The sequence below is a fragment of the Homo sapiens genome, chromosome 6, assembly GCF_000001405.40.
Source record: "Homo sapiens chromosome 6, GRCh38.p14 Primary Assembly".
Lineage (NCBI taxonomy): Eukaryota > Metazoa > Chordata > Mammalia > Primates > Hominidae > Homo > Homo sapiens.
The window spans coordinates 107,488,779-107,503,238 of record NC_000006.12 but is presented as its reverse complement, the minus strand read 5'-3'; the positions used below and the strand labels follow the sequence as shown (position 1 = coordinate 107,503,238).

The 14,460-nt window shown below is 43.3% G+C and overlaps 1 protein-coding gene across 5 annotated transcripts in view, besides 2 other annotated features; it reads right to left on the bottom strand.

Moving 5' to 3' along the window:
- Positions 1-13,122, bottom strand: part of SOBP (sine oculis binding protein homolog) — a 171,190-nt gene extending 158,068 nt beyond the window's left edge. For all 5 annotated transcript variants that reach the window (NM_018013.4, XM_011535920.3, XM_047418962.1 and 2 more), the window contains exon 1: positions 12,527-13,122. In NM_018013.4, the coding sequence (NP_060483.3) occupies positions 12,527-12,622 (96 nt within the window). In that variant the 5' untranslated portion in view covers positions 12,623-13,122. The remainder of the gene's footprint in view (positions 1-12,526) is intronic.
- Positions 12,743-12,802: a silencer, noted in NCBI's record as "silent region_17441". NCBI's record gives its function as "represses an Ori minimal core promoter by ATAC-STARR-seq in GM12878 lymphoblastoid cells {active_cell/tissue: GM12878}" and the evidence as "EXISTENCE:reporter gene assay evidence [ECO:0000049][PMID:35858748]".
- Positions 12,843-12,892: a silencer, noted in NCBI's record as "silent region_17440". NCBI's record gives its function as "represses an Ori minimal core promoter by ATAC-STARR-seq in GM12878 lymphoblastoid cells {active_cell/tissue: GM12878}" and the evidence as "EXISTENCE:reporter gene assay evidence [ECO:0000049][PMID:35858748]".

Below are 14,460 nucleotides of genomic sequence, written 5' to 3'. Positions count from 1 at the left end.
TTGCTTTCTGATTTAGGTGTTGTTTTCTTAAGATAACTCTTATCGCGGATAACGCCAAATTTCAACAAAGAAAAATTTCAGAATTGTTAACAGTACCATACAGAAAGCTAGGTTACAATAGGTTACAAGGGTCTTCCTTTTTTATTTTTTTCCTTCTGCAAGAGTTTTTTCAAAAATCAGGCCAGGCACGGTGGCTCACGCCTGTAATCCCGCACTTTGGAAGGCTGAGGCAGACAGATTACTTGAGGTCAAGAGTTCAAGACCAGCCTGGGCAACATGGTGAAACCCCTTGTCTACCAAATATACAAAAATCAGCTGGCCCTGGTGGCACACACTTTTAATCCCAACTACTCGGGAGGCTGAGGCAGGAGAATCACTTGAACCTGGGAGGCAGAGGTTGCAGTGAGCTGAGATCACACCACTGCACTCCAGCCTGGGCAACAGGGCAAGCCTCCATCTCAAAAAAATTTTTTTTTAAAAAATCAACACATAAGTTTTTTTTATAAATTTCATTAGTGACAGGTTCTTTTTCCATAAAATCTAAGGTCACTAAGATTGTCTTCTGACAAGTAACATAAAAGTACCAAATAACTTTAAAGTTACTAGCCAGCCCATTTGGGATAATGTATGAAAACATTTTATGAACTATAAATCAATACATAAATGTAAGATAATATCACTGTTGCTGTTGTTATGGATATCATACTTCAAAAATAATAAGTATAATTGGACAGATTTAATATCATATTAAAGTGACTATATATTTTTACCTTATCAATTGCTATATCTGGAAACAAGATGTAAGACTCTGTGTGTTAATGATTTTAATGCTTATGTGTGCCTTAAACATTCCTGTCTCGCAGGGAACCACGAGCTTCCTAAGCTGAGCCAGAAAAACTATATATTCTAACCTTCTTTGTGGCTCAAAGAATCTTTTATTATCCTTCTTAGAAGCTGTCATTTCTGAATTACACTACAATATATAATTTATATACCTGAAACAAAGCACCAAGGCTAAGCCAGAGTGTGCACAATCTCAACGTGTGAGTTCCGTGTTTTCTTGAATTTCACGACTTTAAATTTCAGCAGGGGTAGCATAAAAAATAAAAGACATTACACTACTGACTCCACAAAAACAAACCTGGCATTTCAAACTACCCACAGGATGCTAGATTTTTTGCTTTAGTACCCACGTAAGCTCTGAACTCCAACTGGGTCAATCAGTGATGGTACAGTGCATTAACAATTAAGAAAAAACTAGCCAGATTGATTCAGTGTTACCATCCGCAAGGCCAACAGTCAGTCACATCAAGCTTTAGTGAGGCATTTATTCTCTCTGATGGCTGGTCGTGTCCACATTAAATAGATATTCTTTTCATGAATGCACAAAGATATGATCAATATGAATAATAAGCTCAGCAACTTTAGGAATATCACTGAGGAGGACTGGGTTGAACACTGCCCCACTCAATCAAAAGAGATCCCTTTAATGAGGCATCAGTCTCCCCAACACCTAATTTCTTTCACTGAGATGAGAGCCTGACTTGAGAATGACAATCCCTAGGCACACAAATAGAGGTCCTCTATCAGTGGTCTCACAGCAGAAATCTCCAAGGATGAGGCTTATACTTTTCATCAAAAAAAACAATTCCCAACAGCATTAAAAGCCAAATGCAAGCCATCCTATTGGTCTGTGTGCCATCTGCCCCAATCTCTAAGAAAACTGTGCCAAGACAGAATATCTTTTACATATATCCTAGTGACTATATCCAGTTTTATAGACCGGTCATCTATGGGTGCCACTTTCTCCTGTTTCTGTCTAGCCTCTGAAGTCACACAAAGGCTACGAATGCATAATCATGGAGCAACCCCCTAGCCAAGGATATAGATTTGTTTTAGTCCAGCTGCAAATCCATTCAGCCTTTCAGAACCAGTTCCAGGAATGGGATCCAGAAGTTTTAGACATTTGGGTAAAAACTGAAACCTCAGTTGGAATATTAACACCAAATTCACATTATTTGGGCATCAAAACTACATCAGTTTAGTTTACGGTTTGTGCTGAAAAGTCAGAGGCTTCATGGAACAATCAATATGAACTTGATCTATTCCATGATTTTCAAGTTACTATAAATGTCAGGGTAAATAAACTCTAAAACATTCCCTTTTTTGTCATGGAAAATAAAAATAAACACCTTAATGTTTTGATATATTGCTACAAAAGCAGAAAACAAAGATTTATAAAACTTCAAGCCATAAATCTCAAAGCTTTCATGAAAGGGGCAAGATGAAAGAGAGAAAACGAACACCAAAATTTTTTGTAGTACAGCTACAAGAAATGACTATTACTTCTGTTGTATACACTATTGTATGAAGAAGCCAAAGGACTCCAAGGAATCAAAAATTTAAAAATTTAAGGCTGGGTGTGGTGGCTCAGACCTGTAATCCCAGCACTTTGGGAGGCCAAGGTGGGCAGATCACAAGGTCAGGAGATCGAGACCATCCTGGCTAACATGGTGAAACCCCATCCGTCTCTAATAAAAATACAAAAAATTAGCCGGGCGTAGTGGCGGGCGCCTGTAGTCCCAGCTACTTGGGAGGCTGAGGCAGGAGAATGGCGTGAACCCGGGAGGCGGAGCTTGCAGTGAGCCGAGATCGCGCCACTGCACTCCAGCCTGGGCGACAGAGAGAGATTCCTTCTCAAAAAAAAAAAATTTTTTTTAAATTTAAATTTCAAGGTGAAGTTTGATGCTAGATGTCACAGGAGTTCATTATGGTGCTAAACCAAAGTAAATAAAATAAATTTTTAACGTTATCATCCAAGAAACATATTCTTTTTCCTTTTCCTTTTTTTTTTTTTTTTAGACAGGGTCTCACTCTGTGGGCCAAGCTGGAGTGCAATGGCATGATCTTGGTTCACTGCAACCTCCACCTCCGGGGCTCAAGTGCCTCAGCCTCCCAAGTAGGTGGGAGTACAGGCGCAAGCCACCATGCCCGGCTAATTTTTCTATATTGTAGAGACGGGGCTCACCATGTTGGCAAGGCTGGTCTCAAACTCCTGACCTTAAGTGATCCACCTGCTTCGGCCTCCCAAAGTGCTGGAATTACAGGTGTGAGCTACTATGCCTGAAGAAACATAATATATTCTAAGAGACATGAATTTAATGTTTATGGCCTATAAAGATTTTCAAGTCTTTCTAGCAGAGAATTCCAACAGTTACTTTTCAGCATTGTTTTTGTACTATTATCCCTTAAAAAGGAATTTCCTATTTAAAAAGTTATTCATTTCCTGTTTCATATATATATACATGTGTTTCATACATATATATGTGAAAAACAGTAAAGGTAATAGTAGTTAAAATGCAGACAGATTTTCGAGATAAGGATGTTCAGTAATAAAACAAGCCACTGAACGAAGGCAGGTTATGATATCTGCCTCCCTCAAAATCTTTACCCAGCATTTCTCCTGAAGACCTAGGGCAGGAAATGAAGCAGAGTCTCTTAAGAGTGCCTCCCAGTTTTAGGATTCTGTAAAATCAAAGAACTTCTACTTATATAAGAAATAAAATACCTTTTGCAAAGAAATTTCATAATTACAGTGATCATACCTCATGAATTTTACTGAGTCATTATTTCAAATATTTTATCATTGCTCCCATAAATCATCAAAATGTGCCAGAGATTTCAATATTTTGGCATCTGAACTACATTTTGCAGACTGCTTCTTGCCCTTGGAAGTGACACAAAAATCATCTCTCAAACCATGTGGTCCAATTTGGGTTTGGAAAATAGGTCACTGTAATTATAATAATGTCTAATAGTCTTATAGCACTTTACAGTGTTTCTATATCTTTTAATTCTCCTGATCCTTTCAATAACCCTATGTGTTAGGTACTTGATTTCCACAATAAACTTTTGGTGAACCTATATGACATCCTCTTTTCACGACAGAAAATTAGAACATCAAGAAGGTAAAAGACAGGCATGAGAGATCTAGTAAAGTCAAAACTAAAATACATATCTTCTAATTCTTAAGCCAGGTCTCTTTCTATTATAAATTCTGTACTTCCCAATGTATCCGCAATTGCAAAGAAGCTACCTCCCGGACCAATCAAAGAGCTGCAAAGATATCATGCAAGAGAATGTCAATATCATATATAAAGAGATTTCTAAACAGGGCATATCTACTTACGTTAAGACTTTGCTTGCTTTGGATTTGATCATTGACCTCTAGTTTCCTTAACAGGGGTGCTCAAAATTCACAATTAAAATGGAATCTCCTCATTTCACAATGTTTTGATACTACATCTGACTCTAATTGCTTTGTACTTCTACTACATAATTTCCCTGCCTCTTTCCTTCCCTCTCCAATTCTCCTCTCTCACCTCTAGTGTTCATAAGAAAAAAAGGCAATCCTAACATTTAGTCTGAAAGCATGATCTCTTCTGAGAATTAAAACAAAAACAAAAAAAGGTCACAGAAAGATAGGTGGAAACTAAATTTTACTATGTCTTTACTCCTCCTGAGTTCTTCCTATACCAGCAAAATAATTTTTGTTGCATCTTACACTGCCAGGATATTCATCAAACACCTTCCTTATTCAACTGGAAGTACTGTACAAATGTCAAAGTTCAACCTACATGATTTTTTTTTTCTTTCTGAGGAGCTGTGAATGACACTACGTGATTTTTGATTGAACATTTTACCAGGTAAATAATAAAGAGTTGACTTCATAACACTGAAAATAGCAGTAATTACAAATTCGCAAAATACCTCTGAAACACAAGTACTTCAAAATCTTCAAAAAGAACTGGTGATTTTATTTATTTTGAAAACAACAAGTAGATTTTAAAACACAGATACTGATTTTTTCATACCAGGCCTTGCAAAACTGAATGCCAATGTGTTTTCAAATTTGTATTCTACCCAAGACAGCAGGAAGTATTCAAAGAGCCCCCAATCACTCACCCAATGAGGGGCAAGTCATGCCCTTCCCCTCCCCATAAACATAATTCCCATTTTCACTGCAAGTCCCAGTTCTAGTAAAATATGTCATCTATTCCAAAAACAATGTAAGTTACTTGAGGGTAGGAACCTTTAATTTCATTTTATGCCTCACCTAACACAATGCTTAGCACTTAATCCAGTCACAAATATTTATTTAAACGCAGTTACAGAGAAATGATCAAATAAAATTCAGGAAAACCTAATTTTAAAAATAAATATGTAAAAGCTTAAAAATTATAACATGTAGTATTAGTAAGCACCCTCATGCTATTGGGAATTTAAATTGCTACAACTGTTAGAAAAAGTAATTTGACTCTATGCATTAAAAGCCTTAAAATTGTACATACCCTTTGACTTAGCAATTTTACTTCTAGGGACTGTTGAAACTATTCTAGGAAAACAGCTATGGAAATATGCATGTTTCAGCATTGTTTTCTTAGAAACAAACTAAATGCCAAACAATAGGAATCCTAGTTAAATAAATTATAGTTTGGGCATATAATGGAATACTATTTTGCCACTAAAATATATACTGTAGATACATTTTTATTGCCATGAAAAGCTATTAACAGTACATTAAGTTTTAAAAGGAAGGTTAGTATAGTATGAGACTTTTTTTTATAAAAACTATATATCATATATAGAGAAAGGGCATGAAAAGACATATATCAAAATGTTGACAGTAATTGCGTCTGGGTGGGAAAATTACAGGCTTTGTTTTTCTTTTTGCTTATTTTTATTGCCTACTCTTTTTGTCATGTCCATGTATTATTTTCATAAAAATAAAAAACTAGTTTTAATTAAAAATTAACACATAGTCTCAGTCATAGACAATTACATCAGCTATAGTCACAGTCCTAATGACAATAAAAAGGATTTGTTGGTTACATTACTTAACTTCAAAACATTCTGACACCCATTATCCAAGAAAGTGGAGCACATGAGAAATGCTTTCAAAGGAAAAAGAAACTCCCAATTCCAAACAATTTATAAAGCATGGGGGAAAAATGCTACTATCTCTACTAGTTAAGGTTATGAATAGTAGACTGATGGTTATTTCTGAAAAATATTTTATCTCCCTTTCCATCTCCATATGCTCTGACTTACTTCTGGAGTAGATATCTATCAGGCATCATTGGACTCATTAATAGAGATAAAGAAAGGTAATCTGCAGAAGACAGGCAGAAGCCTTGTTCAAGTTCCAGAGTGAAGCAGGAATTGAATCTGGTTAGAAGTCAGTTTCTAGCTCTACTCTCAGGCCTGGCCCAGGGCTGAGTCTGAGCTGTCTTTCTTAACACAGACCCAGTGGATCAGTTTTATTTTATGGTTCTGCCAAGAAAAAGGTCATGACATAAAATTTAAATAGTGCAAAAGAAATATTTGAAGAGCCCTTTGCAGATTACAAAGTACTTCCTCTTTCATGATCCCACTGGATCCAATGGTATAGTTAAGATGAGCCACCCCCACAGATGACCCACTGGAGGGTCATCAATGTGAATGAAATAGTAAGGGTGGCCAGATTCCCACTCAGTGCAGACTTTATATACTGAACCCTGCTGTTTTTACCTGAACTACAGCTTTCGAGCCTGAAATTCTTTGAAGATGGTTCCTATGCTCCATTTTGCAGAATTGCTCTTAGCCACAACACAATGATTTTAACGCAGAGGACATATCATTAACACTAATACTCAACTCTGACTTGGAACAGGCTGGAAAAGAAAGTCTTACTCTCTTATTGATATATCCTAAATTGGATGGCTATATAATTGGCATATGAAACCAAAATCATGTGGTTCTGCATATAAAATGTATGGTGTTTTACTGTCTCGTCGTGATACAGAGCAAACAATCATGTCCCCACATTTTAATCTGCTGCCAGGACATCAAATGTCCTAAAAAGGTCAAACAAATGCTGTGAAATTGTGAATACCAGCCCTCAGGCTAACATTGTGGCAGGCATGGCAGGTGTACAGCTGTGTGCAGCTGTGTCTTTTCACAGCTGCAGAACTGCCTTAAAAAATCACCAAGACTTGTTACATTGTTTTCCTGTCTGTGCCAAAGTCACTGGCCTTAATGCAGCACAGAGTTCCACAGGCCTTTGGTTATATAAGAGATATTAACACCCATCGGTCTACAGATCCTAAAATATACATTCAGCAAATCTCACTTACCACATGCTTTCATGTCTGTTTACATGTTTCAATTGGCACTATCAAAAACAAAGTCTTCCGTGTTTTTTTTTTCCTCTTCTAACCTGTAATATCCCCTCTCCTTCAGGAACATATTCAATAATCTTATTAGCTTGAGAGTACAAGTGTGGCTGAATTCCCATTCCACAAGAGGAAGTTTTAGACTTTAGGGATTTTGATGGTATACCTTCTACTACTTGTAATAATTTTGTTAAGTATAAAGAGTCAGTAAATAAAAGGGAATTTTATATAAGATATAAAAAGTTTGGTTACCCTAACAAGAGACTACCTTTTCCTAGAACTCTCCCTTTTAGAGAGCCACTGTGCTCACTAATATTTGCCCTTTTTTAAGGCCCTGTTTTTTACTTTCCTTTAAAAATTCTGTTACCTCTTGGTTTCTATAAGTCTGTCTTTCACACAAGGAGAGTAGGGCTTGGCTTCTCAGAGCAGTGCTTGGCAAGCACAGAGGCAGGAAACGCAGAAGGGAATGAGTCTGTCAGACTCATTTTCTTCTAGTTCAAATGTTTATTTCAGATTCGAGAGGAAGTGGAGTGGTTCCTTTCCATTTCCTCGTCTCTGGAATCTGCGAGTTGTATAAGTAAGTTTAGAGAATGACGCTCTACCGTACATCACACCAGTTCGTGGATGGAGAAAGAGACTCTTCCCAGAAAACTCCTGGTTTGAACAGACCATAATACATAACCATCCAAGCTCTCACAGGACAGTCTTTTATGGGTTTAGCTTGGAGCCTTTGGCAGGACAAGTGAGAGCAAGGCTGAAGGCTCAGGAACATCTTATACCTGCTCCCAAGAGGCCAGGGCTATGTGCCCACTAACATTAGTCCCCATCCCTGCCACGTGGCACACCTGAGGCCACTGCTTAGAGAGGGGGAGTCTAACATAATTTGTGAATGCCACAGTGGGATCTGGGGTCCTAAGTCCACTTTCTAAGTTCCTGAGAATTATGCTTCTGACACCAGGATAGAGTTTCAACAGCAAAACTTAAAATATACCTGTTTTAATAATGAGCCAATTTCAAACTTAAACTTGCTGACTTTTCCAGTCCATGCTCTGATTTCTCTCTCTCTCTCTTAAAATCAAGCTATTTATCTCACCAGCTCGGCTCTGCAACTTGCTTTATTGTCTGTGCAATTGACACAGGTTATTTTTAATGCCAAATTGAGACCATCAGAAAACAAACTAGAAAATCTTGTGGTAAGTTTACTACTAAACTCTAACAGATGTGCCTGACCCAAATTGTAGGCATCAGGACTGAAGCGTAATTTTAGGTACAAATTACTTACTGAGAATATTTATAGACAGAAAACTTCTTCAGCAAAGAAGCATCTCTGACATTTAACACAGATTCTCCTGTAGTTTAGCAATTGATAAAGAAGTTAAACATTGTAAGTGCATTAATTATGGTTTGTTTAGGAAAGTTTCCAGCACAGAATGCTTGATCTAATCATGCTGGTTTTGTCAAAGAATTTTAAAAGACAAAAATTGAACTCATAATCTCTACTCACAGTTTGGATATTTTGAGTTGTATTGTTGTTTGGTAGCTACTGATCACAAAAGATCTATGTGCACAAAATATATATCCTTAAGGGCAACAATATTTACCTTACACATATATTTACGCTTACACATCCACTAGTAGAAGTTAGTTTTTATATTATATCTACTATGTTCTGGATGAACTCTTAAAACTAATTAACCTTCCCATATGTCAGAATTCCCTTGTGACATTCATTTATTATGATATATGTGAGCTAACAGTATACCTGAGACATATTACATTAGACACAATCACAACATTCACTTTAGAAACATATACTCTGCATCGCTGTCTGATTTTTTAAAATTCTACTAGCCACTAATTAAATAAGGCAGACTAATTGTAAGTACATTGGTACAACCAGTCTTTCTAATCAGGAAAAACCAGGATAAGGGAAGAAGAAAAGGAAAGATAAAGAAACACTGTAAAGGTCATAGTGAGACAAACATTTCTACATGAAGATATTTTCAGGGAGTACACTACAAGCAAGCTATGCCAAGTCATGTACTTTTCATACACAAAATTATATTGTATCAAATTTAAATTTGTTACAACTGCCATGTACATTAAACCAGTGATAACGAAAATGTAACTCAATATCTGATCTAGTGAAACAGCAACTAGCATTAGCTCTCAGCCACATGAAGACACTCTTCAATGCCATTACTGGTGTCAGCTAAACCTCAGCCAGTTTGTCTTCTCCAGCCATTTTAAAATAAATATGTGACTATCTCAATTAGGAAATCTTGAAGGAAGTCTCCGTGATGAGGCAAGTTTGTTGCTCATTCTCAGTGCCCTGCATTTGCTGTACTTAAAATAGACACTTGTACCAATGTCCTTTCTATTACCCGAAGGGGGAAAAAAAATCACATACACACCAGTCCTTTTTCTTTCAGCTCACAGAGAAGCAACTCAATCCAACCAGTGTTGAAACCTGAGTAGGTCACTGTACACCACGATAAAATTCCCTAATCCCTGAGCCAAATCTCCCTAAGGGGGGCCTCCTCCTGATCCTCCACTTCCCAGGCTGACTTTTCCATTTGCTCTCTCTTCTTTCCCCCTTTCATTTCCCCTACCTTCAAGCCTTGATATGTGATCCGAGGTGGGGGCTCAGGTTTCCGTTTTTACAGCTTAGGCCACGCTAGCTGTATACATTCCTTTCTTTCTGCCGGGCAGTGATTACTTACCAGGGCTTAGTTTACACTGGTCCAGATGAAAGCCGTTCAGATGAAGGCAAACACAGCCAGGCAGCTCCAGCGGCACCGATATGAAGCTGCACAAGGCCACATTGTGTTCTCGGTGACATTTTGTTGCACACATTTATATACAGGGCAACCAACTTGTTATGTTACTCTACACTTAGGTTCAGGGAGCTGGAGGAGTAATAGTATCATGATGTTTGGGGAGGGGTTTTGCTGATGTGATTATTAATATTAAAAACAGAAAGATATTAAGGAGCTCAAAATAATCCTTCCACCTTTTGACTTTGAGAAACCACTTTTTAAGTGAGGACTTTTGGTGCTGTTATATTAGAAGAATGCCTACTAAACAATTCCACTAGACTCTCAGGCATGGTATACTTGAACATGACTAAAATTTTTGGTTAGGGGTATTTTACTTTGGTCCAAAGAAGAGAGAAAACACTGATCCTACAGACAATTGAGTTATTTGCCGTGTAAAACTTCTTATTTAATGCTACTCTGGATTGAAAGGGTGAGGATTAAAACTTCAAATAGTGGGTGGTGATTTGGAAGGAAAATAATATTTTAAAAAGAGGAAATTCTGTGCACCAAGGTTAATTCCATACTTAGTCCTGCAGCATCGGCTAAAAATTGTGTAATTTTTCCCCTTCACACAATGTTGTTTTTGTTTCTTCCTCACCAGTTCAGACAAACATCTGTTATACTGCAGAAGGACAACTATCTCCCAAACCACGGACTGCGCCTGCAGCCAAAATCAACAACGCGAGCCCCAAGCATCGAGCACAGTCAGCCTTTATATCCAGCCGGGATAACATTTCACATGTTTTGATTAAAATTAGCTAATTTGTAATTCTAGAACCTATGAAACTTAAAAGCTGCCATCCATATAGATCACATTAGGCAGCGTTTTAAAGGGCCAGAGCTCCTTGTGATTTCCTAGTGGCTTTCACCTCTCTCCCCCTTCCCCACCCCCAACCTAAAATGAAATGCAAAAGTAAACTGGAAATGCAGGACAGGAGGTAAGGGTAAGTGAGGAAGAATGGTTATTATGGACTGTTTGAATTTTGTTCCCATCAAAAAACAACAACTTCTACCGGTCTTAAAAAAAATAAAATAAAACTGTCCATCATTGGAATCAACAGTGGTTTCCACCATAAGAAACAGCATTGATTTCCAAGGCAAATCTCCCTTAACTCTCCGTTGGACTCATGCTGCACCTCATGCTTCCAGGTACTAAGTTCCTTATCCAGTAATAAAACCCCTAATTCTGATATTTAGGTTGCTTCTGACATTTCTGAGAAGTAAAGCTAAGCATATGCACCTAGGTACGCATACATATATGATATATATCCATGCGTCCCCTGCTAAGCGTGAGCTATGATAGAAAATGCTTGTTCTAATGAAGAAAGCGTCAAAGCGCAATAAATTTGACTTACTTGCACACCATTTTCATCCAGTTTGTTTTTTAAATACAAACTGAACCAAAACTGGCCAAGTAGTAGTATTAAGCCACCTGGTAGTATTAAGGATTTCATGCAGAAGATGGGGAACACCAAGAAGACCGCAAAATGCAAACCTGCTACTTTTTGATGGCTCGCAGAAAAATAAATAAATTGTTTTATATCAATAGAGACTCGTGAAATCAACACAGAATAAAACCCTCGCCCAGGCAAAAGCCGCAACTTCATGGAAAATAAGGAGGTGGGGGGCAACGAGGGGGTCCAGAGCTGAGCGGTGCTCTTGTGCAATTGCTCTAACGCGAACAGCTGGAGCGCCAGGCTGCTGCGCTCTCCACCTCTGGTGCACCGCTGGCCTGGCGGGGAGCCCAGCCTCGCCGAGAGGACTCCGGGCCGGCCTTAGCGAACAATGGACAGGCGCCCTGCAAAGGCCGCCCCTCAGACAGCTGTCCTCCAGCGGGGCTGGCCGGGGTCTGCTTGGCTGGGAAGTGAGGCAGGCAGAGGCGAGCGGGAGGCGGAGGCTGCCAGTGGTGAGGTGCGGGCGGGGGCGGGCGAGGAGAGCGGTCAGGACCGTGCCCAGACCCGCGCCTCTCGGGCCGCAGCTCGCCGGGCACTGACGGGCTCTTCACGCCGTCGCAGCTGGTTGGTTGGGGGGAAGCGGGATTGAGGAGCAGGAGGGTGAGCTGGGGGAGAGGGGTGGAATAGAGCTCTCTCCGGGGTGCCCCGGCCAGGAGGCTCCTAACTTTGGAGGGACCCTGAGGATGATTCTCAAAAAGGGGGGAGAAACTGCACCGTCCACTGGGAAAGCCTCTTCCCCTGCCCAACGCCGCTCGAGTCCCCGGTGCCCTCGCCCTGAAACGCGTCCGTGCCAACCTGGGATTCGTAAGGTTAAATAGTATGTGGTCCCCCCTCATCAAATCTGAGGTTGGCAACAATTTCGGGGATGCAGCCCTCGAGTTGGCCTCTGCTTTACACCTGGAGGAGGAGCGGAGCCGTTCTGGGCATCCTACAGAAACTGACAAGCGCGCCCCGGTACCCCCCAGATCCATACCACGGCCCACGGGGAGCGGGCGCAAGAAAGAGCTCAGTCTCCCTGGCCCCCGAGATCAAAAAATACCTTCATCTCCTCATTGATCTCCCTTTTCACTGGGTGAGCCGGCTTCCTGCTCCGTTTATTTTCGGGAGGTCTCCCTTCTTTCTCCATTTCTGCCATGTTTTTGTGTCTGGTTTCTGTGGAGATGAAATGGCTGCTGCCGCCGCCGGCGGTGGTGGTGGCGGCGGCGGCGGCGGTGGAGGTGGTGCTGATGGTGGCGAGGCTGGCGGAGGTAGCGGTGCTGGCGGGGCCGGACCGAGCCGCGAGGGGGAGGGCAGGCGCCGAGAAGCGGGGTCTCTTCTAGCGGCGGAGGACGTCAGTGGCTGTCACGGGTAAGGATAGTGCGGAGAGTCTCGGGGATGCCGCCGCCGTCGCTCCGGCTCCTGCTGCCGCCGCCGCCGCCGCCGCAGCCAACGCCGCCGCTGCTGCCGCTGCCCCTGCCGCCCTCGCTGCCGCTGCCGCTCCCGCCGCCGCCGCCGCCGGGCCGCATCCTCGGGGCCCCGTGGAGTCGTCAGCCATCTTCCGTCGCTCGGTCCGTCCGCATGGGCGCGGGGAGCAAGGGCCGGCGCGGAGAGCGGCCCCGGGCGTGCGTGCGCGGCTGTGTGTGAGCCCGGGAGAGCGCGCCAGCCCCGGCGCCCAGCGCCTCCCGCGAGCCGAGCCGGGGGCGGGCCGGGGGCCGGCGCGGGAGGAGGGGAGGGAGCGCGGCCGGGAGGGGGTCGGAGGGAGGGGAAAGGTGGGGGGGGCGAGGACAGCCCCCCGGCTCTCGAGCGGGCGTGGCTTCCACCGTCACTGGATACGCGGATGCTGCGCGGCTCCGGGGGCTGCTCGCAGCCGCCTGTTCATCCGCGGCGGGCACGGGCGGCTCGCGGCGCCCCCCGCGGCCGCCACCTCCCCGCCACACGCCAGGGGCGCCGGCGCCCGCTCGGAACCCAGCCCTGCTTCTCAGCTCCGCGAGGTGGGCTGGGTTGCGTGTGGAGTTGGTTTTTGAGCCCGTCCTAGGAGCCGCTGAGGAAAAATGAATGGGGGTGAAAGGAGAAGGTTGGGCGGCGGGAGGTCGCGAGACCTGAGGTCGCCTGGCTAGAGGGCCGCCGTCCCCCGGGGAGGGTTGACTGAGCCTGCCGCCTCGGGGGTGCAACGCTGGGGTCTCGGGGAAAGGAAACCACAGCCCGGACGAGCTTCCCCCCACTGAGCTGCCAGAATAGTTTCCCCCTCCGGGGGCCACCGCAGAGTGCGCGGAGGCTGGAGACCCCTTGGAGAGGTCCCCGCGCCCCGCCCGGCCGGTCCTCCACGCGGCGCTGCCTCGGACTGCAATGGCAATGAAGCTTTTGCCTCTCAAAGAACTACTTAGAAGTAGGACATCTCGGCCTTCAGCCCCTTCATTTCTTTTTCCCCTTGTTCCTTCTCTCTTTATCTCTCTCTCACTTATGCCCTGCTTCAAAGTAACAGCTTTACGCGTGACCCCGCCTGCACCCTTATCTGGGTGTCCTGGGTTTCGCCCAAAAGGTTGGGCTGAGTGGGAGCTTCTGGGAGCGCACGGTCCCGCGTAGGGTCCCGCTCACCCGGACCCCGAACGCCCTCGCCACGCCCCGGTGGGATCCTCCCCTCCCCGCCTGGTTGCACTTTCTCCTCCCGACTTCCCAGCTAGCGCCTGCCCTCCATGGAGCGGTGCTCGCTCCCTCTGCGCTCACAAGTCCCCTCTTTGGCCCTCTCCTGCCACGCCTGGGGCCGAGGTCTGATTGAGTCTGTCCCTGTCCCTGGGTTGAGGCATTGGGGGTGACGACTGGATGATGTTTCTGTGATACGCGCGGCTCTGAGCGCTCCCACACGTTGCAGAGGACACATTGACGTTCCCGGCTTCTCCTTCCCGCGCCTCGACACTTCATAATTACCTGACACAATGCGATATGGGGGTGTCCATTGTTCCACTGCATGTTACTGTGGAGTGTTCGTTATGACAG